We start from the raw sequence: 24,819 nt of genomic DNA, 5'->3' as shown, positions 1-24,819 counted from the left end.
CACATACAGGTCTCAACAGCGTAAATTCCCTTTGCCATGTTACTTACGCAGAGTACTTTAAGCCTGCCATTTTACACGTGATTGGAGGTCATTGTCTTCACCTAGGTGAAGATTTATTAAAATTCTTCAATAAATTGTAATTGCCAAGTTCTCAGGGGACTCTAATGACAGCAGATAAGATAATCAAGACTGATCCTCTCGATGGTTACTGAGACAGAACCTGTTGTTCCACAGTTGTGCTGTCCAATCCAAAAGCCTCCAGCCACATGTGGCTACTGAACACTTGAAATGTGGCTGGTGTAAATGGAAATGTGCTGCAAGTGTAAAATACACGCTCTTCCAAAGACAATACAAAAACAAGGGCGTGAAATATCTCATCAATTGATTACATATTGAAATGATAATATTTTGGATGTACTGGATCAAATAAAATAAATTAATTTCACTTGTTTATTTTTAGCTTTTGAAATGTGGCTACTGGAAAATTTTAAACAGCTCACATCGTATTCCTAGTGGACAGTACTGTTCTAGAGGCACATCAACCTCTCCTCCATCAAACTGATACTAAACCTAACACTAGAGTTATGACCTCCAAATTGGGATTCCCTCATTAGTCAGGGAATGGTCAGCTAGGAGCGATTTGGGAGTCTCTCTTCTTACACGGAAGGGAAAAGTGGAGCTCATGCAGCAGCCCCCTTATGAGAGAAAACAAGCAGCAGCTCAGGGAAGGAGCGGGCGAGTCAATACATCCATAAGAGAGGAGACCCACTTAATGACACTTCTGACACAAGCTGGTGGTTGTGAGGAAAGGGATCATGGGGTCTGAAGCCTCCTCGTCCACTCCCTCAAACGCTTTTTGCTCCCTTCTGGTTCATAATCGTTATACCTTGACAACTTTTAATGAGGTAGGGAGAGTCCTCCAATGTAGTCACATGACTTTTATCCTTACAAAAGCTATATTATAATAGCTAAGCAAATATTTTAGTTAACATAAAAATTGTCTTCTATGGCCAGGCACGGTGGCTCACGCCTATAATTCCAACACTTCGGAAGGCTGATGCAGGAGGATCACTTGAAGCCAGGAGTTCCAGACCACCCCGGCCAACATGGCAAAACCCTGTCTCCACTAAAAATACAAAAATTAGCCAGGTGTGGTGGCACATACCTGTAGTCCCAGCTACTTGGGAGGCTGAGGCACAAGAATCGCTTGAACCCAAGGGGCGGAGGTTGCAGAGAGCCGAGATCGCACCACTGCTCTCCAGCCTGGGCAACAGACCGAGACTTCTTCTCAAAAAAACAAACAAAAAAAAGATTATCTTTTATGTATAAGTAATTTAGAAATGCTCTCCAACAGGTTATAATCAAAACTACACAAATTTCTGCAAAATGGCTAGCCCAAATTGGTATTTCCAAAGAGGAAATGTTTGCCAATTACTATACTATCAGCTAATGAAATTAGTATTTTATTTGAAAGAAGTCTGCCAAAATAGATTGCAATGTGTTTTCTTAGACCAGGCCCGTAACTTGATGAAGTTTCTGGAACAGAAAAACAAATAAAAATCAACTCAATGTGTCTTTGTCCAAAATGTCCAAACAGCTACATATGTATGTTTGAACGAAATGTATTTAGATATTATTACTTAAAGATCCAATAAAATAGGTTTCGTTAATTCTCTTTTTATACCTAGCCAATCAATTCCTTTACTAAGTGTTAGAAGTAGATGAAGGACATTAACTGCATAATGCTGAGAACTTTGTTTCTGATTGCTGCCCATTGATCGATGATTAAAGATGCCATAAAGTCACCCCACTTAAGAAACCTAGAGAGCACTGAGGTTATGCTTTCATGACCACAAATTACCACTGCAATACCGTGAATAAAATATAACTTTTTAATTATTCAAGGCAATGCAGAATTACTTGTTCTTGAATCACTGATCAGATTCCCTATAAATTACCAGTAGAGATTAATGAGATTTTTTTAAATCAATAATGATACCTCTGGATACAACAGAAGATTGAAGGCCAGTTTTGCAGACAGTCTGTTATTTTATTGCACAGATTTCACTTCAAGAATAAAATGCACCATCAGTATTTGGAGAGTTTGGGGTCTCAGATACTGATATACCATCAGTGTTTACACCCGTAAAGCCAAATTCAACAGTACAATTTATGTTAAACAACATCACTTCAAGATGGCTAACAATACAAATAGAGAGAAAAGTGGGGGAAAGCTTTAAAAATGTGTTAGTTTGAAGCATATGAAAATGTACGATTAAAAACTACATCATACAAACCTGAAATCAAAAATGTTTTGTGGAACATCAGTTAGAGTTATACTCACTTGCACTGTTATTTATTGCATAAAGTCTATGTGGTTCATTTCCTTCATATTGATGAATTGAGGATTTCAGGAAAACCATGGTTATAAAAATGATCAATCTTGAAAAAGTATGTACAGATAAATGTAAAATCACAAACTAAAAAATATCCCTACCCCTGGCCCTCAACTTACAAAAGGGAAAGTTTCCCATGGAAAGTTCGTTCCACTATTGCCCTCCCTCCCCCATCCCATGTCCCCAATGCTATCTTTTTCTGTCTCGTACAAGTAAATGACCTTGAAGGGAAGAAACAAAAGCCATCTTTATGAGGCTCCCATTGTCATCTGTATCAGTTTGAAAAGCATCTTGGCCGGTGTGGTGGCTCACTCCTATAATCCCAACACTTTGGGAGGCCGAGGCGGGAGGATACTTTGAGTCCAGGAGTTCGAGACCAACCTGGGCAACATAGGGAGCCCTCATCTCTATAAAAAACTTAAAAATTAGCTGGGTGTAGTAGTGAACGCCTGTAGTCCCAGCTACTTGGGAGGCTGAGGCAGGAGGATCACTTGAGCCGGGGAGGTTGAGGCTACATGAGCCGAGATCACACCACCGCACTCCAGCCTGAGCAACAGAGTGAGGCCCTATTTAAAAAAAAAAAAAAAAAAAAAAAAAAAAAAGTATCTTGTATTTCTCTTCCCCACCCCCACCTAACTCAGTGATGTTTGCAAAACATTTGAAATTTAAAGAAACAAAATATATATAATATATTTTTAATAAACAGCAAAAGAATGCCCAAGAAAAGAGCTAATAGGGGCAACACCAAGGGAAAAAAATGTCTGGGCATTATCTGAGCTAGAGATTTCTTTTAAGGCAACCAAAAGATGGGGGAAATGGGGAGAAGTTAAGACTACAAAATGCCAGACAGGATGCTTTTCTAGACCTTTGGCTTTAGAGCCTGGCAGAGGAATGGGCTTCCCCACACTGTGACGAGCAAACCTAGGGCCCTGGGCCCAGCATCTACAGCACCTCTGTGGGCAGCCGGGCAGCCCTCTTATACGTGGGCACTCTTCGCATGAGTCGGGGAGCTAGAGCCCGCAGTGTAGTAGAAACGGTTTTCACCAAAGGCCTGGGCATCTCCAGCGCAGCAGAGGATGACACAGCCACCCACGAGGCACAGCACAGCACCAATCCAGCCTGCATACAGGGAGTAGCCAAAGCTCACGATGGTGGTCTCACGGTGGGCGCACACAGGGAACCAGATGGTGGCAACAAGGGCGCAGAGAGCTGGAGAGACATGGAGAGGCGGTGACTGGGCGCAACCATCACACACCAAGCACTTGGGCAGGCCCACTCACTCCACATACACACACTTGTGGCTTCCAACCAGCTCCAAAAAGCTCCATACACACAGTTCTGCTCCCTCAACACTGAACCAATATGTAGCAGTTGGCATCTGTAGAAGAAGTAGACTGCTGGGTCCTTATTTTTTTCAGCAGGTAACAGAGACAAAACAATTCCAGTGTAAAAACCTAGAAATAAACCATTTAAGTCCAAAAAATATTTATTTGTATTTACTTGTATATCAACACTTCATATCTACAGTTATAATTCTAAAATTAGTATTCTTACTTAATTGTATTATAATTACCCCTTTACATGTCTATGCATCATTCTAAGCTCTGAGTTCTTTGAAGGTAGGGTCCATGTCTTACCTATGTCTACCTTGGTACAAGGCAAATAGTATGTGCTCAATGTAGACCAGTTGAATGGCTGAATGATCTGAGCTATTCAAATATGAGAAACAAGATGGCAGCCACCTCAATTTTCCACTCTATTTTCTCAGTTTGGTCAATTCACATTACAAAGATCTGGAGAAGGTATGAAATTTCTCTTGCTGTGGTGAATGTTGCTAGATGAAAACGGAGTACCAGATAAAGGTTCAAGTTTTTATTACACTGTTCACAATCACAAAATCCCAACACACAAATGAACAGTCCTTGGAGTAGAAAAACTCACCCATTCAAGGGTCAAAATGGTAGAACTTTACTTATGGTCTTGCACCAATCAATCTAATCTTCATTTTGGTTTTGATTTTATAGAGTAAAATAAGAAATAGCTTATATATCATGTAGTTTTTCACCTCTTTATAAGCAAAGTAACAAAACATGGGCAGGCAAGAGGCTATAAAGACTTTTTTTTACTTTTTTCAAATCTCTAGACCAGCACTGTCAAATGGAGTGGCCACAAGTTATGTGGGACCATTGATCATTTGCCATGAGGCTAGTGAGATGAAGAACTGAATTTTGAATTTTCATTAATTTTAATTTAAATGGCCACATGTAGCTAGTGGCTACTGTACCGAACAACACAGCTCTAAACAAAGTAACTCCAAACCTCTTTAAGTTGAGATGGCACATTAAAGTTGGCAGACAGAAAAATAATAATAACAATAATAATAACAATGAGGTTTCCATCAACAAATTCAAGACAGATACTGCACTGCCAGTCTGATGTTTGCCACCAGGGGTACCGTTATCACTTTCAACTCAGCAAGCTTTTTTCTGATTTCTACTCATAGTAAGTGATTTTCTAACTTACTCTCTATGCCCACAGAGAAGAAATATAACTTAACATAAGCAATCAAATCTAACAGCCTTGTATATTAGTTCTAAATGGAAAAAAGATTGGTCTTACCCATTTTGAAAGACCTTTTAAACAATCTCATCGCATTTGTGTTGCTTGTAACATAGATTTTTATTGACAATAGATTAAGCCCACCCCCACAAGCTGGGTATAGATATATGTAGGAAGATATGATTTCTATCCTTAAAAAGAATAGATCTCAAGAGGAAATCAGAAGGAAGAGAGTTAATTTGAAAAGCTATGAATTGCCCAGATTGGCTTTCTAACAGCCCAAATTCACTCCATTAATTATTTATAGATTATCTAAGAAGCTAAAATTGGCCAGGCATGGTGGCTCACACCTTTAATCCCAGCACTTTGGGAGGCCAAGGTGGGCGAATCACCTGAGGTCAGGAGTTCAAGATCAGCCTGGCCAACATGGCAAAACCCCATCTCTACAAAAAAATACAAAAATTAGCCAGGCATGGATGGTGGGTGACTGTAATCCCAGCTACTCAGGAGGCTGAGGCAGGGAGAATTGCTTGAACCCAGAAGGCAGAGGTTGCATGCAGTGAGCGGAGATCTTGCCACTGCACTCCAGCCTGGGCAACAAAGCAAGATTCTGTGTCAAAAAAAAAAAAAGAGAAAAAGAAGAAGCTAAAATCTATCCATATGCTAATGCTTCCTTTTTCTTAAAAAGTAAGCACAGTCATGCCAGCTTCTGTAATATTTTCATATGAGATACCATGAGAAGATGTATTTTCCTTCTGTGACTAGAATGTTCAAGAAAAGCAGTGTGTACGTGAAACCTCCCTTTCTAGCTCAGGACTTTGGAAACCTCAGATGCAGGGGAAAGTCTTTTTCTTTCTCTTCTCTGGCGTGAACTCCAAATCAGGCACTCTTGGAGAATTGCTTGGCTATTATCAGAGTCTCTACTTTCAGCAAGACACAGAGAAAAACCTTTTTCTCTGTCAGCAAAAGGGACTAAAATCCTCTTCTGGAGTGTTTCAGCCAGAGAGAACTACTGTAGATTTTCCGTAGCAATACACAATCTACTTACACAGCCCTAAACCTCAAAAGTGGGCATTCGTTCTGCTGTGGGCAAAAAACAGCAACCTAGCAAAGGCTTCCAAACACCCAGGCTTGTTTAGAGGAAAAAGAAGGGGAGTGAAAAGCTGAATTCTGTAGAGAAAAAAGTTCTAATTCCCAAACAACTGATATGGTTCAATCTAACCGATCTTTCCTATAAACAATTAACTGGTTTCAAAACAACTCAGGGTTCAAATCAAGTTTTATATTTTTCAACTATACTTTGTATTTACACATACAGCACATGTGCACACACATGCAGGAAAGCATTCCCCACATCTATTGTTAACCTAACTTTCACACTGAGATTTTATAGAATAAGACAAGAAACTGCCTCTAAATTCATTTCATTGTTCCCTTAAGCAAATCATAAAACAAGATTATCTTCACACAGGGAAATAACAGACTCAATATCCCAAAAGTAACCATCAGTCTTGGTTTTGAGTATTTTAGGGATTTTGTTAGGTTTTATTCCAATATAAATCATTAGAAAAAGGGAAAAATCAGAAAAAGGTCTAAATATTTCATACAATGAACCTCCATAGGAATGGATGAGTGAACGGGGGAACGAATGGATGGATAGATGAGAAGTAGTCTCATTTCAATTCTACATTTTACTTCATACATACCAAAACTGACACCCAAAGTCATAAAATCTTATTGTGACTTTAACACACTTAAAGTCGCAAGCTCATCACTGACCTCATTAAAGATTTCCTTCTCTTACAATTCACACAAAACAAGGCAAATGAGTGCCAGCAGGCTCTTTACTTCCTAGGAGACAAATGAACCCTGGGTGGAATTCCTGTGGCTCTCAAAGATGAACCACATCAAAACCACTAAAAAATGACAGACTGCCACACAACATGAAAGGAAATGAGAGGCTCACTGAAAACAGTGACCTTCAATTGAACCCAAAATGAGAAATGTTTAAAAACTAAAAAAGGAGAATTTACTCAATTTCAGCAATGGTTTCAAGAGAGAAAGAGATATGTTTTGACCAGTAAAGTTAAAAATTCAAGACAAATCATTACTTAACTTTTAAAAATGTGAAATAGTAATATAACTGGCCAAAAATAATTGCCTTTCTTAAAGACACAGAAGGCCTGATAGTTTTAATTTTATTCGCAAACCCAAAAAGATGAGTTTGGAATGGTTCTCTCTGTTATTTGGGAAAAATAAAGAAAGTGTTTTTCTAGAAAGTCAGTTACCTGTAAGGTCAAGAAAATTGAAGACAGACAAAGGGAATTTTTGTTCTTTTTCTTTTTATATCATCAGAGTTTATTTTTAAATTAAGTCTCTAAAAACAAGACAGAGTAATTTTAGCACTCAGATTTTTCAGTTTTTCTCCTTTTTTACCTTCAGAAGATGCAACAGCTAACTACACAAGGTGGTGGGGGGTACCATTTGTTGTTGGAAAACAGAAAGTAAAACTGAGGTATATTCTTAGCTAAAAATGAGAAGGAGGAGAAGGGGGAAGAGAAGGGAGAGAAAGGGAAGGGAAAAGAAAGCTTCACTATGTAAAGACAGATATATCTAAACCTGGTCCTCTCATAAGCAGAATTCCTTGCTCTTCAAAGAATAAAATTGTTTGCCCCTTTTGAGAACAAGTTTCAAATAATGCAACACAATACATTCTTTAATTGATAAGATATGCCTTGTTAAAAACTAAGAATGATGGTGATGTGACCAAACAGAAAATATTTGAGAAGTCCATTTTAAAGCAATGAAATGTAAGTGTGGCTTTTAATCTCTTTAAAGATGAGATGACACATGGTAACACATGGAGTTAAATAAACATGAAGTTAAATAAAATCAATACAGGTATGTTTGACGTTGGAGGTAACAACTGAGAGAAAGAGAGACAGACAGACAGACAAAGAGGCAGAGAAAGACAAGATCAGTAGACACTGACATTTCTTCCTCCTTCCAATAAATCTTTTTTTTTTTTTTTTTGATAGGATATCTGTCACCCAGGCTGGAGGGCAGTGGTGCAATCTCGACTCACTGCAGACTCATTCTCCCGAGCATCAATCCTCAGCCTCCCAAGTAGCTGGAATCACAGGTGCACACCACCAGGCTGGCCTAACTTTTGTATTTTTAGTAGGGATGGGGTTTTGCCATGTTGGCCAGGCTGGTTTCGAACTCCTGGGCTCAAGCAATCTGCCCGCGTCTGCCTTCCAAAGTGCTAGATTACAGGCGTGAACCACCATGCCTGGCCCCAGTGAACCTTTTTTCAAGCTTTGTCACTTCCCACTGAAAGGACTTTTTCTTTTTTTTTTTTTTTTTTGAGACAGTCTCACTCTGTCGCCCAGGCTGGAGTGCAGTGGCATGATCTCAGCTCACTGCAAACTCTGCCACATGGGTTCAAGCAATCCTCGTGCCTCAGCCTCCTGCGTAGCTGGGATTACAGGCACCTGCCACACCTGGCTAATTTTTGTAGTTTTGGTTGGTTTTTTTGTTTTTTGTTTTTTTGAGATGGATTTTTGCTCTCGTTGCCCAGGCTGGAGTGCAATGGTGCGATCTCGGCTCACCACAACCTCTGCCTCCTGGGTTCAAGTGATTCTCCTGCCTCAGCCTCCCAAGTAGCAGGGATTACAGGCGTGTGCCACCATGCCCTGCTAATTTTATATTTTAAGTAGAGACAGGGTTTCTCCATGTTGGTCAGGCTGGTTTCGAACTCCCAACCTCAGGTGATCCACCCACCTCAGCCTCCCAAAGTGCTGTGATTACAGGTGTGAGCCACCACGTCCAGCCCTGAAAGAACTTTTAAAAGCATCATTTCTAGCACAAAGCAAAATTTTCATTAAAATCATTTAAATTATTCTGACTTCTTACATTAGTAATAGCGAAAAAAATCTTTCTTGATATGCTATCTAAGATTTCCTTTTAAAAATCTGAAGACTGGAAGAAATGGAGAAGTGGAAAGATGAAGCATATATTACAGCCATGAGTTGATCACTGTTGAGGAGGTTGGGTTCACAGGGGTTTATTATACTATTCCTCTACTTTTATATAGGTCTGATATTTTCCAAAATAAAAACGTTCTTAAAGACCTTCTTGGCCAGGCACGGTGGCTCACGGCTCAGGAGTTCGAGACCAGCCTGCCCAATATGGTGAAACCCCATCTCTACAAAAAATACAAAAATTAGCCGGGCATGGTGGCACATGCCAGTAATCCCAGCTAGTCGGGAGCCTGAGGCAGGAGAATCGCTTGAACCCAGGTGGCAGAGGTTGCAGTGAGCCAAGATTGCGCCACTGCACTCTAGCCTGGGCGACAGAGCAAAGGTCCGTCTCAAAAAATAAAAATAAAAAGAAGGAAATTGACATGATTGGAAGAATACCCAGCTGCTCTCTGGGTATTCTTTTAACCAGCTAACCAACAATAACAATAATAATAGCAACCATTTATTGAGCACTTACCATGTGCCAGATCCTATGCTAAATAATTTTCACACATCATTTCACTGTTTTTACTAACCTGAGAAGCAGGCGTTATTGTTCCCATTTTATGGAAGGGACCAGAGACATTAAGGAACTGCCCCAGTTCACACAGCTAGAAAGTAGTAGGTTCCAGATTCAGCACAGTTGGATCTGACTCCAGCTGATAAGATCACACAATTCAGGGCACAGGCACCTCCTGCCTTGGCAGGGACTCTTGAAAAGCCACAAACAGATTAGCCTCAAATCCACCACAGATCTGAGAGCCTGCTGCTCCTGTACTACTCATCTGGCTTTAGAAGCAACTGGCTCCTATTTCTTCCTCCACAGCAGGAACCAAATCCTCACACCATCAAACGTAACTGCTGAGAAGATAAAGTTGTACAACAGACATAATTTTTTTAAGCTTTCACAAAAATAATTACAGATTTTCAGGGTCAGGAAAAACTGATTTCAATTAGCAGTGTTCACAGTTCCCATACCAGGACTAGCTGTGACACTGTGTCCAGTTCCCAGGCCCCCGAAACCCAGGAGGTGCCTCATCTTCTTTGGTCGAATGAGGTGTGTTTGTTCAGCCCCATTCAGTGACCCTGAGGACCTTGCACAGGCCTAGCGCTGGCTTCTCTGGGGGAGTGACAGAAACAGTCCAGAGCAACACAAAGGGAGCCTTCAGTCCCCATGCTCCTCCCACCACTGCCAACAGGGGAAACAAGGCACTTGGGGCTCCGTGGTGAGAAGACCTAGAGGAGATCAGCAGGTGCCATGCTTGAGACAATGAGCTTTACATTTCCAGAGCTAGCTCGTTCCGGTCAAAACAACATCCAGCCCAAAGGCAGTGGTGATCCACTGAGAAACAAATCCGGATAGGAGCAAAGCAGGCAGACAATATCGGAAATGCAAGGCCGTAAAAGGGCAATGAGGGGACTCTGGTGAGTGTCCGGAAATGGGCAGCCTCCTTGGGTGGGGTCAGGTCCCTCCATGTCCTGCTTCCCCCATAGTTTCACTCCAGACAGGCAAACAGGGACTGAGGCACTCACCCACTCCCCAGCCCCACCTTGCTTTCTTCCTCTGTGATGCTGCCTATCTATATCAACACACTTTTAGAAGATAAAGAAAAACAAATTCAGCTAGGAAGTTTCAAACCACCGGTTGCTTTTTCCTTCAATATCCCTGATTATTCAACTAAACAATTCTGTTGTTTTTAGGGTTGTTTAAACTACGTATACTTTGCTTTTATCCCTCTATTTTCCAGGGTTTGTATGTTTGTTTTAGTGTGTTCTCTCACTTGTGGATACCTGTGACATTCATATGGAAGGCCAGAATTTCTAAACATGAGCACTCAACACAACAGACCCACCTTTTGGCTCTGCCATCCTCAGAGCCCAAGAGAACCTTCCGGGGCTTCTGTGAGAATGTGAGGAAAGTAACAAACAGCAAGTGTCTAGGAGAAGGGTTTCACCTGGATTCTGCAAACCAAGTTTACTTGTGGAGCTTTCACTTTCCTGTTGGAAAGGGAGTCAGACAATAGACCTGACCTCCATAGAGCACTGCAAGAGGGAGCCCCTGTGAGTCAGATAAAGCACCGGATGCTGATATGTGTTCCGTGTGACGCTGGCACACAAATTCTTTGTGGCTGGAACCAAAATTTCCACATTCAGATTTTTCTCTGGAAATTAGTGGCCTTTTCACTCCTGTTAACACACACACACGCGCGCACACACACACACACACACACACACCCTTGTGGCTTCACAAGAACCTGCAAACCTCCGTCCCTTTGCAATCCTGGAAAATGGTGCCCCACCTCTCATGTCCCCTCACCTTACTGGTGTCATTATGAGTGTGAGGCCTCCAGATGGGAGGTACCCACCAAGTGGCATCAACCCACACAGAACCCTGACCCCTTATCCTTACCCCTCAAATTCATCATCTGATATGCCAATCTGGGGGTATGAATTCCTTGTTTCAGAAGAAGGTGATTTTATATCTAACCCATTACCAGACTAATTTGTTGTCACTGATATGCGCACTTTGCAACAAGAGTTGTTCTTAAAATTCATATTGTCTATTAGGATTTAGAATGTGCTAATGAAACTAGCATCTGAGGGAAAAAAACGGAGAGAAATTAAATCACTGACGAGAAGAGAGCTAGAAGGACCCTCCATAGGTTGTTAAATGAAGCCCTTTATGTGCAGGTATAATCAGCAAAACCAAATGAGCACATGCCATTTCCTGTCCCTGGACTGTCCCTCCCCTCAATTCATGACCAGCCCACCTCCTCTTCAAGTCTCAGAGCTTACTGCTGGGTTCTTCCACTCTGGAAACTCATCCAGTCTGGGTTAGGTGCCTTCCTATGTGTATGCACAGACTATATACCTTTTCTACATGAGCACATACCATATTCTATTGAGGTTTCCAAGTACACTCAAAGCAAAGACGGCCTATTTTCCCCAGTGTCCCCAGTACCTACCATGGTGTCTGGCCCACATGCTCAAGGAAGGCTTACTGAGTTAAAGGACGGAGCCATCACCTGGTGGTCTAACCACCCTCAACTCCTGACTTTTCTCTTGCCCTCTTCTTTACTTTTTTCTTTCTTTCTTTTTTCTTTTTCTTTTTCTTTTTTTTTTTTTTTGGAGTTGCACTCTGTCACCCAGGATGGAACGCAGTAGCGTGATCTCAGCTCACCGCAACCTCTGCCTCCTGGGTTCAAATCATTCTCCTGCCTTAGCAACCCCCGCCCCGAGTAGCTGGGATTACAGGCATGCACCACCATACCTGGCTAATTTTTGTATTTTTAGTAGAGATGGGGTTTCACCATGTTGGCCAGGCTGGTCTTGAACTTCCAACCTCAGGTGATCCGCCCACCTCGGCCTCCTTCTTTATTAACTGAGCTGCTCAGTCTTGCCTGCACATAAGCATCACCTGGGAAGCTTTCAAAAAATATCTTTGCCTGGCCTGATGCCCAGAAAATTCTGATTCAATTGATCTGCTGTGGGACCTGGGCATAGGTGTTCAAAAAGGATTCCACTGTGAAGACTGAGAAGGCTTCCATCTTTCAGGTCTTTCCCTTAGGTATTTCCTACCTTCAAAATCCTCTTTCTCTTTTTAAACTTATCTTCATGGTCAGTGACTCCCAGAGACATTACTTAGCCCTCTGTGTAAACTGCCCATAAAATACAAAGGGATACAGATTGTGGGAGTCCATCCCCCACTGGCTTCACTTGGCTTCCTTTCACATTTCTCTTGAACTTGAGAAGGCAGCAACCACAAGATCTGAGATTCATCAGGCTCCCTCATAGGTAGGGTACCACTGAGAAAGCTGTCTTACCCAGCAGAATGAGCAAAACACCAGCCAGCTGGGCCCGCCTGTACTTAGCCACACCGGGCTCCTGGCCCATCCGGATGCAGGGAAGAACAGTCAGCAGCAGTAAAATGGCCGGCAGACCCAGGACCGAGGCAGCAATCATCAGGGCGCGGCAGGCCTGCACGTAGCCTGGGAACAAGAGAGCAGATGGGAAAGGTTAGACCACAGGGTTCTCTTGCTTCCTGAGCCCTGCCTTAGGGGAATTCAGCACCATCTCCCTTCCTCCTTCTTGGTGGATTCCAGGACTTAGAAGGTGCTAATGTTGTCCAAGGTCACTAAGCACTTTTTAACTTTTAAAACAACTCAGCAAGAAAAAAGGGGGCTGGAGAAACTAAATGGGGACCCCTGGTTTAGGCCACTTGGCCAAGCTTCCAGGATGGAGGGGCCAAGAGTCCATTTACATTATTACATCCCCCTGAGAAAGTTCAGATGAAAACTGAAATCTCCCAAGAATCATTCTGTGAGGGCCTCTATTGGTTCCAGTCTGCTATTGATAGCTCTACCTGTGTGACCTTGGGCAAGTTACTTAACCATGATGTCTTATTTTCCACATCTATAAAGTAACAACAGGCCAGGCATGGTGGCTCACACCTCTAATCCCAGCACTTTGGGAGGCCAAGGCAGGTGGATCTTCTGAGGTCAGGAGTTCAAGATCAGCCTGGCCAACAGGGCGAAACCCCATCTCTACTAAAAATACAAAAATTAGCCTGGTGTGGTGGTGTGAGCCTGTAGTCCCAGCTACTTGGGGAGGCTGAGGCAGCAGAATCGCTTGAACCTGAGAGGGGGAGGTTGCAGTGAGCTGAGATCGAGCCACTGCACTCCAGCCCAGGTGACAGAGCGAGACTCTTTCTCAAAATAAATAAATAAATAAACAAACAAAGTATTGATAATAATATAATAGTACCTACATCTCTGTAATAGAATTCTACTGAAGATTACATTAGTTAATTTATTTAGTGCTTAAAACAGTGCCTATACCAAATCCTCAAAAAAGGTTAGTTGTTATCATTGGTGTTCTTTGTCTGTCTCAGTGCAGCGCTTTCATCTTCAGGTGTCCTAGGTGATTTTCTCCTAACCATGTGCTTTCATTCACATTGGCTGTGGCCCTAACCCAGACTAAACTAAGACTCAGGCTTCCTCTCTTTGCTGTCTCCCCAGAGGCTGCTGTCCTCATGGATCCTGCCCCTAAATTGTTGGACCCCATCTCCTGCCTCACCCACAGTGCCCTGGGCATCCTTCCCCAACTGTCCATCATTGCTTAAAAGGCATCTCTCCAGCCCTCAGGGTTCCTGGAGGGCAGACACCTGCCTTGGTATTCACGGAGTTAACACAGTGCCCACAACAGATCATGGAAACAATTGCGAATCAAGGAATAAGAGAACTGAAAAATAGAAGAGTAGAGCAAAACTACATGAACTTTATCCTGTCAAGTAAAATGCCAAGTAAAAACTGTATTAAGAAACAGATTACAATATGTGTCACATTTATTTAGAATAAATCTGACAAGATACTGGGAGAATTTCACAGACAAATTTGTTTCACTTTCAAATGTAATGTTTCTCATTAAAACTCTCCCTCCTCTTAAAAAAGGTGGGGGGGGTCACATTTATTACCCTCCCTTTTTTGCTCAGAAGGAACTAGTACTAGTGGCCTGGGTGAGGCAGAGTTCATAGCAAAGCCAGGAATCTAGCCGACATCTGCCTCACACACCACGACCCTCACGTGCAAAAAGGCCTAACTTCAACGCTGTCTCTTAGCAAGGAACGTTTTGCCAGAATTCGGACTTCACAAGGGCCCTCTTCCAGCACTGCCCATCTCAGCTCCTTCAGAATTAAAGATAATCAGTCAAGTGTCTACTGACTTGAAGATCTCCAGAAAGGAGCTCCAGGAAGTCTGAGGCCCATCCCCTGACCCAGCCGTCCGCCTCTGCGGCTTGTAGAGAGCCAGTACTCACACAAAGCAGGCAGTCAACTGGCAATGCAGGTTCTGAAATCCATGGCACTGGCTGTCCACATGCTACAGTGCCAAGGCCATGTCCGGACACCAAAAGATAGGGACAGAGGACTGTTCCTGCCTCCACCCAAAGTATGAGGGAGGGGGAAGGCAGGAAGGACTAGCGCCGCCCCCCACCCCCCCCCCACCCCCAGAGTATGCACTCCCCTCTGGAGGACAGCCTTTGTTCTCTGAAAACAAACCACTTGGCACTGAATGCTCAGTAAAGTTAATTTCAGGAGAAGAAAACAAAGTTAATTTTATGCTTCAAAGATCCCTACAAATACCATGCCCAGCTTTTAATAAAATACTATAGGTACCATTCATGAAGCATCTACTATCTCAAAGGAGATTACATTTCTTATCTCATTTAATCCTCAAATAATCGTGAAAGATGGGTGGTTGATCTGATTTTAACTTTTAAAAGAAGACAACCGTGGTTCACTGAGGCTAGCAATTTGTCCCCCCTCACCCAGATTGTGAGTCCTGGATGCCGGAGGCTGGCCCGGGTCTGCCAACACCAGCATTAGCCAAAGCTGAGTCTAGATCTGCGTTCGTTGACCTCTGGCCTTCTGAAAGTTCAAAATGAAGGAAAGGATAGCGTAAGGCAAACCAGGCAAGCACTGCCCGCAGCTATTGTGTGCCAGAGGCCATGCCAGGTCCAGAAGAGGAAGCAAAGAGAATAACAGGACGCCATCTCTATCTTCAAGGAATTTAAAACGTAGTGGGAGAACTTCACTCACGAACAATCAACAAAAAACAAGATAAAATGTGCCTTTGTGAGGATAAGAGCCAAGTACTAGGCAGCAAGGAGAAAGGAGGGATTCAGATTCCGACTGCGAGGACCGGAAATAGGGCGTGCTTGGAGGAGGCTTAAGGGGCGAGCACAGTCTTATCTGACTGGCGGCTTCAGGGACAGGTTTCTCCCCATCTTGAGGAAACCGGGAAAATCCTTTAAGTGAGCACAATCCACGAAGGCTGGGGGACAGAAGCCCACCTTGTAGGGACATGCCTTGGGGGTAGAGCAGAGATTCCAGCAGAAAACCAAGGGGGTGCCCGCGACCTCGCCATTGCCCAACCCATTGGTTTAAATCTGAATTGAGGCTGTCGCCCAAAATGTTTCCACAGGACACATGTGAAAATGTGGCCCCTGGCCGGCGCTAGGCTGTCAATTTTTACCTCCCCTTCCCAATCTGAGACACGCTGGAGGGGTGGCGGCGAGCGACCCTCGGCGGCGCGCTCCGTATCTCCCCAGTGGAGTCCGCCCTCCGAGGAGCGCCCGCTCGTCCCTATCCAACCCAGCGGCGCGGAGCGGGAGCCGGCGTCACCGCAGCCCCGCAGTCTGACGCGCCCACAGCAGGGGCGGGGGTAGCGGGGGCAGCGGAGATGGCCCTGGGCACGTGCGGGAATCAACGTGACATTTCCCAAACCAGGCAGCCCAGAGAGCCCTGGACGTGAATTGCTCAGCGGCTGCGCGGACGGAGCTAGGAGGGCTCTAACCTGGCCGGGGGCGCTTCGCCCATCCCATGAGGACCGAGAAACTCAGCCTGAGCCGGTTCGATTCTCCTGTCAGCTTGTGTTACACGCTCCTTCTCACCTCTGCGGGCGGAACCTAACGCGAAGGCTCGGCGCCCCGGGGGAGGCCGGGCGGGAGCGGGAAGCACTTCGGGAAGCGGACGGTGGAAGGATGCGGGCTGGGACCGCAGTAATTAACACGGACTCAGTTCCTATTAGGTGTTCCGGTTTGTTCATTCTCAAAGGGACCCGGCCAGTGTTACCACCGGCCACATTGCCACTATTATCTCAAATTCCAGATAAGAATACTGCGGCCTAGAGAAGTTAAGTTCGGGGCTGCCTAATTCTTTTACAACAAGGTGGGACTAGGGATGTCAAAAACGTACCCAAAGGTCTTCAAGCCCCCAAAATGTCTCTGTGACGCCGTCTAATATCCCGCTCTCTACCCAGAGGATAAGGATTTGGGAGCCGCCGCCAAGCTCGGGTCCTTACCCGGCAGGATGAGGATGTCCACCAGGGGCTTGCAGTGGTACAGCCCCGTGGCCATGACGCAGTCGGCCCACAGCCCCTTGGAGCCCAGCTCATCCAGCTTGCGGCAGGTGGGGATGGTGTAGCCGCAGGTCACCACCCAGTCATTGGTGGAGGTGGTCACGATGACCCCGATCCAGCCCACGAAGCTCGTGACGAAGCCCACCACCTGCAGGCACGTGGCCACCATGGTGGCCGCCAGGATGTCCCCGTGCCTCGCCCCTCACGGCTGTGCCTGGGCCTGGGCTGGACAGTGCCTGCCCAGGTACGTCTCCCACGCTCGCGAGCCGCTGGAGGGCGACGGCCCGAGGCGGGACACTGGAGGTGGAGGTGGGCGCCGGAGGCTGCGAGCTCAGCGGCGAAGGGCGCACGGCGGGGACAGCAGCGCTGCTGGGCAGCGCGCCCCCGCCCCCTCTTTAAGCCCCGCGGCTCCGGCCGGCGAGCACCAATCGGCGGCAGCCCCGGGGCGCGCCGGCCAATCGCGGGGCGGGGCCGGGAGGGAAGCGTGAAGGGGAGCAGAGTAACCCCAGGGGGGCCATTGGGCCGCCCCACCCCGTCCGCAGCGCAGTCCGGCGATGCAAAGTAAAACAATTCCATCCAGGTCCAGAGAAACGGAGAGCGCAAAGAGGGCGTGCGTTTGTCGAGAGTTCTGTTTTCCTGCGACTGGTTTCTCTTCTTATAGCCCCTCTCTCATCTCAGTCTCTGGGTGTCCATTCCGCTCCGACCCTCCTCAGCTCCTCCCTGCTCGCTCCTTCTTCCCTGCTGCGAGCACTCCAAGGGCGCTCGGTACAGTCCCCCGACGACCCAGGATTGTGACAGACTGAAAAGTGCAGTAGGGACAAACGCGAGGCATTCAGTACACACAGTTACTAGAAGAAAGAAAACGATGCTTTTCAGTGGTTGAACATCATCAGCGGCAAACGTGGCCATAATAATCAACAATAGCAACTCACATTTATCGAGCTGTGTTATATATTATGCAGATGCATTTTACATGCATTAGCTCATTTAATCCTCATAACAGCCTTTGAGGTAGGAACAATTGTCAATGACACATACTAGGCCGGGAGTGGTGGCTCACACCTGTAATCCCAGAACTTTGGGAGGCCAAGGTGGGCGGATCACCTAAGGTCAGGAGTTCGAGACCAGCCTGACCAACATGGTGAAACTCCATCTCTACAGAAAATACAAAAATGAGCCGGGCATGGTGGCGCATGCCTGTAACCCCAGCTGCTTGGGAGGCTGAGGCAGGAGAATAACTTGAAGGAGGTTGCAGTGCGCCAAGATCGTGCCACTGCACTCCAGCCTGGGCAACTGAGTGAGACAACGTCTCAAAAGCAAACAACAACAACAACAACAAATTACACGCACTAGCCATAGAGAAACAGCACAAGAAGGTTGAGTTGCCCAAGTTCACGCAGCTAGGAAGGGGTAGATACCATGGGCCCATCTCATCCCTTTCACGAACTGTTTCTAGGAAACTGTCCTGATCAGTCTGAAAATTCCTAAGGGGTTCATGTGTCCCATTTTAGACGCATTAAAAGCTACAGCAGACTTCTCTGGCTCACTGTAAATAAATTAATATCTGTACCCCACTGAGAAAACTGCCTAGCCCAGAATGAGCGCTCTGATAGTGTAAAGCTATCATCATCACCATCAACATCATTAAGCCACCATGCATACAAATAGGCCGCATTATTTGCACCTTTTTATTCAGATAGGGAAGTCTTCCTTGAGCTGCATTTACATTCAACAGTTTTCACTCCCTTTGAAACATTTGGCTTATCTTATTATCTCCTTCTATCCATTCCCTTGGACCACTGCCTCCTCACCAATCATGAGACTTAAAGGTGTGAGGATTTCAGAAAGCACAAAAACTTCCTGCTCAGCGTTCTAAAATCTAAGATACTAACCATAAATCATAGGTACTGAGCTTTCCCAAAGCCAGCCCTAATGCTGGTTATCAGTGCAATCACCATGTCTTCTAGGAAAGCCTGGACTTGAGGAGACAATTACATTTCCCTGGAGACCCCAAGGAAATCAAGTGCACACACAGAAATGGCTCTTGTAATTGATAGCAGAGTGTCAAGTACAAGGGTCACAGTAATCACCCAGGAAGCACAGTGACTAAGAACACAGTCCAACTGCCCAAGTTCAAATCTTGGCTCCATCACTTTCTGGCTGTGAGACCAAGTTACTTTATCATTCTTGGCCTCCTTTTCTCATTTGTAAAATAAGGATGAAAACTGTACCTACCTCATAGACTTTTTTTTTTATTCTGTGAGCTATTAGGTTGGTGCAAAGTATTAAACATAACGGCAAAAACCACGATTACTTTTATACCAACCTAGTAATATATATGCAGAACTTAAAGTAACATTGGTACAAAGTAAGTATTCAGAAACCCCTGGCTAATGTGATGCTTCAGAACGTTGTTGTTGTTGTTGCCGTTGTTGTTGTTTTGAGACAAGATCTGTGTCACCCTGTCTACAGTTCAGTGGCGTGATCACAGCTCATTGTAGCCTTGAACCCCGGGACTCAAGTGATCCTCCCACCTCAGCCTCCTGAGTAGCTAGGACTACAGGCATGAGTCACTATGCCCAGCTAATCTTTCTTATTATTAGTAGAGAGAAGGTCTCACTATGTTGCCCAAGCTGGTCTTGAACTCCTGCGCTCAAGCAATTCACCTGCCTTGGCCTCCCAAAGTGCTGGGATTATAATAGGCATGAGCCAGCAGGCTTGGCCTGATTTTGCATTCTTATGTATCCTCCCTATATTCGTATGAGTTTGATTTGTGGAAACTATTCCATAGGAGTATGTTCTGAGTGAGCCATTGTGTTTGGGGGACGTTTCATCACCAGGGTCTATGGACTGAATGTTTTCAGATATTTCCTTATAACACTTTTTTAAAATGGCTTTTGTGCTAAATACAACATAAAACATAAAACCCAAGCAACATCAACTTCTTGTAAAAGCACTCATGGAATCTGCACTCTTATGCCTCCATTAGAATTTGACATTCGAACCATGAAACTTCAACCAATCAGAATATAATAATGCCCAGATCATCCACAGGTCACACACACATAGTGTTTGTAAAGCCAGATTTCAGAACTCAGGCACTAAATGGTAAAAAAAAAAAAAAAAAAAAAAAAAAATTGCCAAGTTGTTAAGATTGCTGTCTTGGACTGGGACCTCCTAGGTTCACATTCTGTCTTCACCACTTGAGCTGGCCCTTCACCTACGTGACTCTCAGGTTCTTCATGTACAAAGTGAGATAGTAAATGCCCCCTTAGGGCATGGTGAGGATCAAGTGAGATAATTTATATGAAGTACTCAGCATAGTGCCCAGCACTGCTGGACACTCATTCACATTAGACACTGTTAGAATGATTTATAGGAAGCGTAGATTAATTGGAAGTGGGAGTTCCCTTTGGTAGAGATACAAGCTAAATAATTAGGGTATTATTATTATCCAATGAAAGCAATTGTAAAGCCAGTGTCTAATCCATTCCAGCATAGATGTACAAAAGGCCACTTGAGGAGGCCACAAGATGTAACCTGTTTGAATTCATTAGCCCAAGGTAAAGAGAGGGCTTGTCCCTTCAAAAGGAAGGCAGGAAGCCATGGAAGCAAAGAGAACTGGGGGCCAAGAGGCAGAGAGACGCAATGGGAATCCTTGACTATTTTCAGAGTCTGTGGCTCACAGACTCTGAGGATGCGGTGCCATTAGCAAGGCTCTGTAGGGTGGGGAAGTCCCTCAAGCTATCTTAGCTGAGACTTTTGCTAAAATCATCCACATTGCGGCCAGGCACAGTGGCTCACCCCTGTAATCCCATCACTTTGGGAGACCAAGGCGGGTGGATAACGAGGTCAGGAGTTCGAGACCAGTCTGGCCAACATGGTGAAACCCCGTCTCGGGGTTTCAAAATTATACAAAAATTAGCTGGGCGTGGTGGCAGGTGCCTGTAATCCCAGCTACTCAAGAGGCTGAGGCAGGAGAATCTCTTGAACCTGGGAGGCGGAGGTTGCAGTGAGCCGAGATCGTGCCATTGCACTCCAGCCTGGGTGACAAGAGCAAGACTCCATATCAAATATATATATATATATATATATACAAAATTAGCCAGGCATGGTGGCACATGCCTGTAATCCCAGCTACTCAGGAGGCTGAGGCAGGAGAATCGCTTGAACCCGGGAGGCGGAGGTTGCAGTGAGCCGAGATCATGCCATTGCACTCCAGCCTGGGCAACAAGAGCAAACTCTGTCTCAAAAAAAAAAAAAATATCATCCACATTGCTTGGCTGTGGCTCTCCTCCCAAACCCTCTTTGTGATTAAGACCTGACTTCCCATGCAGCACAACTTACTAAACTGATATTCTGGGTCTGTCACAGTCTCAGGTACCCTTTAGTTGTAAGAGTCAGTCTCTCAAGGTCTAATCACCCTCAGATAAACGTCAATCGTTGGTCCCCAGACCATCCAGACAAAGGTCTTCTCAGTTAATTTTTTCTCAGCAAACTCTGCCATGCCATCTTTTCACATTTCCACAGTACATATCAGAACTAGGAAGGTAGAGCTGAGACCTGATTTCAGGTCTTCTAACCCTAAGTCCAATGTTTTTTTCCATTATAAAAAAAAATATAAGATGAGTCATATGCTCTGTGGCTTGAGCGTAAGTTCGTTCCTTCATCTTACTCTTATTCAAAGGTATTTGAAGGGGAGGATTAGGGGATTAGGGCCAGTAAGGCCCTAAAACCCAGATGTGAACTAAACAAAGGAAAAGGCCTGGTTAACTGTTCTTCTACCATTTACACCCAAAAATAGTCAATCAAACTAAAATGCTATTCAGATACAGCACGAATGCATACCACAAAGCAGATGTGACTGCTGGCAAGCATCAAAACCCCACATTGAGAGCAAAGTTTGGGCCAACGAGTAGGCTCTTAGCGCCTGCTAGTGGTTATCTTTTATCATTGCATGGCTGGTAAAAAACTGAAGGGAGCTGTAACTTGTAGAGAAACATGATTAACCTCAGCTTTGCACATTCCAAATGAGGGATAATTAAACCCAACTGGAATGTGCATTTCTCTGTGGAAGTTTTCTTCATATATTTTAAAAAGATGATTCACCTCTTTAGAAAACCAAACATGAAAACACAGGACATATATGAAATTACTTAAGCAAGATTACTCAATTAAAAAATCAAGTACTTCTACTAGGCCCTTATTTACTTATTTATTTATTTTGTTAGAGACAGAGTCTTGCTGTCCCCCTGGAGGCTGAAGTGTGGCGGCACAAACATAGCTCACTGTAACCTCGAACTCTGGGCCCAAGTGATTCTCCCACCTCAGCCTCCTGAATAGCTAGGACTATAGGTGCACACCACCACACCTGGCTAATTTTTTTATTGTTGTATTTTTTATAGAGATGGGGGAGGGGTCTCTGTATTGCCCAGGCTGGTCTCAAACTCTTGGCCTCAAAAGATACCCCCATCTCAGCTCCCCATCACATCCGGCCTGGGGACCTCTTTTTAAGGGATAAATTCCTCTGGTGGATTTTAAATATTTGATGATACACACATACACACATTTTTAGAAATACTGTAGAACAAATTCATAGCATAAAAAGAATATCAAACATAGGCTTTAAAAATGAAATGACCTGTAAGTTTCAGGATTTTGTCTATTTTGTTCATCACCGAAACTGTTGAATGTGGCACAGTACGTGGCATACACAAAGGCACTCAATACATACCTGTTGAATGGAGCTGACTGAAGGGTTGAAAGGGAGAGATTGAATTTGCAAGCCTACAAGTTCCACTAGGATGAGAACCTGAAGACACCATGCAGAAGAAATCAGGAGGTGGTGATTGGAGCTGGTCTAGGGAGTGGGCAAGAGGCAGAGTACAGCTCTTTGTGGTCTCGGGTACCCACCTGCCGCCCACAGGAAAGTGAAGCCTTCAGCAGTAGAAGGGATGTGTACTGCTCAGGTCTCAAACAGAAAAGTCTCTAATTACCTAGACACGCTGGCCTCAATGCATATACTTCCAGCAGAGAAGAGTGGCACCTTCACAATTCACTTCCACCTGGAGATTCAAATTCAGCTACGAGAGGGGAAAAAATTCCTTTTCAGGAAATTTCTCCAACAATCACTGTGGAAAACACACCAGGTTCTCTAGAACAGACAACAGGGCTCCAGGTGCTCCCCCATATCTTGCCCTTTCTTCACAGTGCAACTAGAATATCATTCCTTCAGAAGCCATTTCATCCCAAATTTCCCTTCCTTCAGCTTGTAGATAGAGTAAAATAATGAAAAACTTGTACCTGGAGTTTTAGGCTTGAATCCTCTCAGAGTGTTTTCTCTCTTCAAGTAGCAATTCTATTCATCCACTTCTCTGCCAAGAGTCTCAGACTGCATTAAATGATATCCTGTCTAATTCAACCTATGAGATCATAGTTCCTGAAGAAGAGCAAAAGTCCTTATTTTTAGCCCAAATTCAACTAGCGATTACATTTTCAGAAAACATAGTAGTAATAGAGTATATAAGTGCTGAAGTGAAAAATAAGGAAATAATCTAACTAAAAAGCCACATCTTTAAATTCTCTATCTTAATAATTAAGGGGCAGGGCACGGTGGCTCACGCCTGTAATCCTAGCACTTTGGGAGGCCAAGGCAGGCAGGTCACCTGAGGTCAGGAGTTCGAGACCAGCCTGGCCAACATGGTGAAACCCTGTCTCTACTAAAAATACAAAAAATAGCTCAGTGTGATGGTGGGTGCCTGTAATCCCAGCTACTTGGGAGGCTGAGGCACCAGAATCATTTGAATCCAGGAGGCAGAGGTTGCAGTGAGCTAAGATCACGCCACTGCACTCCACCCTGGGCAACAGAGTGAGACTCTGGCTCCCAATAATAATAATAATAATAAAGAACAGGTGTTTGTCGGCCAGGCGCAGTGGTTCACACCTGTAATCCTAGCACTTTGGGAGGCTGAGGCGGGCGAATCATGAGGTCAGGAGTTCAAGACCAGCCTGGCCAACATGGTGAAACCCTGTCTCTACTAAAAATACAAAAAAATAGCTGGGCGTAGTGGGGAGCGCCTGTAAACCCAGCTACTCAGGAAGCTGAGGCAGGAGAATCACTTGAATCCGGGAGGCGGAGGTTGCAGTGAGCTGAGATCGCGCCACTGCATTCCGGCCCAGGTGACAGAGTAAAACTCTGTCTCAAAAAAAAAAAAAAAAAAAAAAAAAAAGAACAGGTGTTTGCATTTAGCTACCTAGGACATGGAAACACAGAGCAATTTGTTGACTTTTAAGTCTTTTACTGAAAACATGAATAATAAAATGATCAAAACAATCATGTGTCCTCTTATTATTCATTCAATATATAATAAAAAATCACCAATCATGTTATCAATGCTACACTGTTCCATAAAAAACTGTCTACAAGAGAAGCCTGTGTCTCAATGACACCAATTGTTTTCTTTTTGTTTCTTATGTAAATAAAGATTCTATTTTATTAAATTATCCTGAATGAGGACATTGTTGGGCACCAAGATCCAAAGCAGACAACAGAGTAGAGTAGTAAGGGGAATAGGGTGGAATCCTGGCTCCATCACTAACTAGTTGTGTGATCTCGAGCAGGCTGTTTAACTTTTTTGTTTAGTAACTGCATTTAATAACTAATATTCTATTTCCTCACCAGAAAAATTGTGTTAACAACGGTAACTGGCTGGGCACAGTAGCTCATGTCTGTAATCCCAGCGCTTTGGGAGGCTGAGACAGGAAGATTGCTTGATGCCAGGAGTTTCAGACCAGCCTCAGCAATCTGTCTCTACAAAAATAAAAATAGCTACTAATAGTCCTTGCTACTGAGGAGGCTAAGGCAGAAGGATCACTTGAGCCCACAAGTTGGAGGTTACAACGTGCTGTGATCGCATCACTGCGCCC

General features: G+C 44.4%; 1 protein-coding gene and 1 non-coding gene across 3 annotated transcripts, besides 3 other annotated features; both read right to left on the bottom strand.

The window, feature by feature from the left end:
- Positions 1-1,437: 1,437 nt before the first annotated feature.
- CLDN11 (claudin 11) lies at positions 1,438-17,261 on the bottom strand. Of its 2 annotated transcripts, none has more exons than NM_005602.6 (3): positions 16,837-17,261; positions 12,802-12,966; positions 1,438-3,605 (listed from the first exon to the last, which is right to left on the bottom strand). In NM_005602.6, exons 1-3 carry the CDS (start codon positions 17,060-17,062, stop codon positions 3,373-3,375), a joined length of 624 nt encoding a protein of 207 aa, NP_005593.2. In that variant the 5' UTR covers positions 17,063-17,261; the 3' UTR covers positions 1,438-3,372. The 2 variants fall into 2 exon arrangements, with proteins under 2 accessions (NP_005593.2, NP_001171985.1); NM_001185056.2 differs by lacking the exon at positions 16,837-17,261 and adding an exon at positions 14,792-14,903.
- Positions 9,773-10,272: an enhancer, noted in NCBI's record as "H3K27ac hESC enhancer chr3:170143645-170144144 (GRCh37/hg19 assembly coordinates)". NCBI's record gives its function as "activates a minimal SCP1, AML or CMV promoter by ChIP-STARR-seq in naive and primed H9 embryonic stem cells {active_cell/tissue: H9 hESC(naive and primed)}" and the evidence as "EXISTENCE:reporter gene assay evidence [ECO:0000049][PMID:30033119]".
- Positions 10,273-10,774: an enhancer, noted in NCBI's record as "H3K27ac hESC enhancer chr3:170143143-170143644 (GRCh37/hg19 assembly coordinates)". NCBI's record gives its function as "activates a minimal SCP1, AML or CMV promoter by ChIP-STARR-seq in naive H9 embryonic stem cells {active_cell/tissue: H9 hESC(naive)}" and the evidence as "EXISTENCE:reporter gene assay evidence [ECO:0000049][PMID:30033119]".
- Positions 12,967-13,026, bottom strand: MIR6828 (microRNA 6828). The gene has a single exon (NR_106886.1). It is a non-coding gene; the product is annotated as a microRNA 6828 (primary transcript).
- Positions 16,561-17,513: an enhancer, noted in NCBI's record as "H3K4me1 hESC enhancer chr3:170136404-170137356 (GRCh37/hg19 assembly coordinates)". NCBI's record gives its function as "activates a minimal SCP1, AML or CMV promoter by ChIP-STARR-seq in naive and primed H9 embryonic stem cells {active_cell/tissue: H9 hESC(naive and primed)}" and the evidence as "EXISTENCE:reporter gene assay evidence [ECO:0000049][PMID:30033119]".

Source organism: Homo sapiens, chromosome 3, assembly GCF_000001405.40.
Source record: "Homo sapiens chromosome 3, GRCh38.p14 Primary Assembly".
Taxonomy (NCBI): domain Eukaryota; kingdom Metazoa; phylum Chordata; class Mammalia; order Primates; family Hominidae; genus Homo; species Homo sapiens.
The sequence above is the reverse complement of the archived record's forward strand: the minus strand, read 5'-3'. Positions and strand labels throughout refer to the sequence as shown.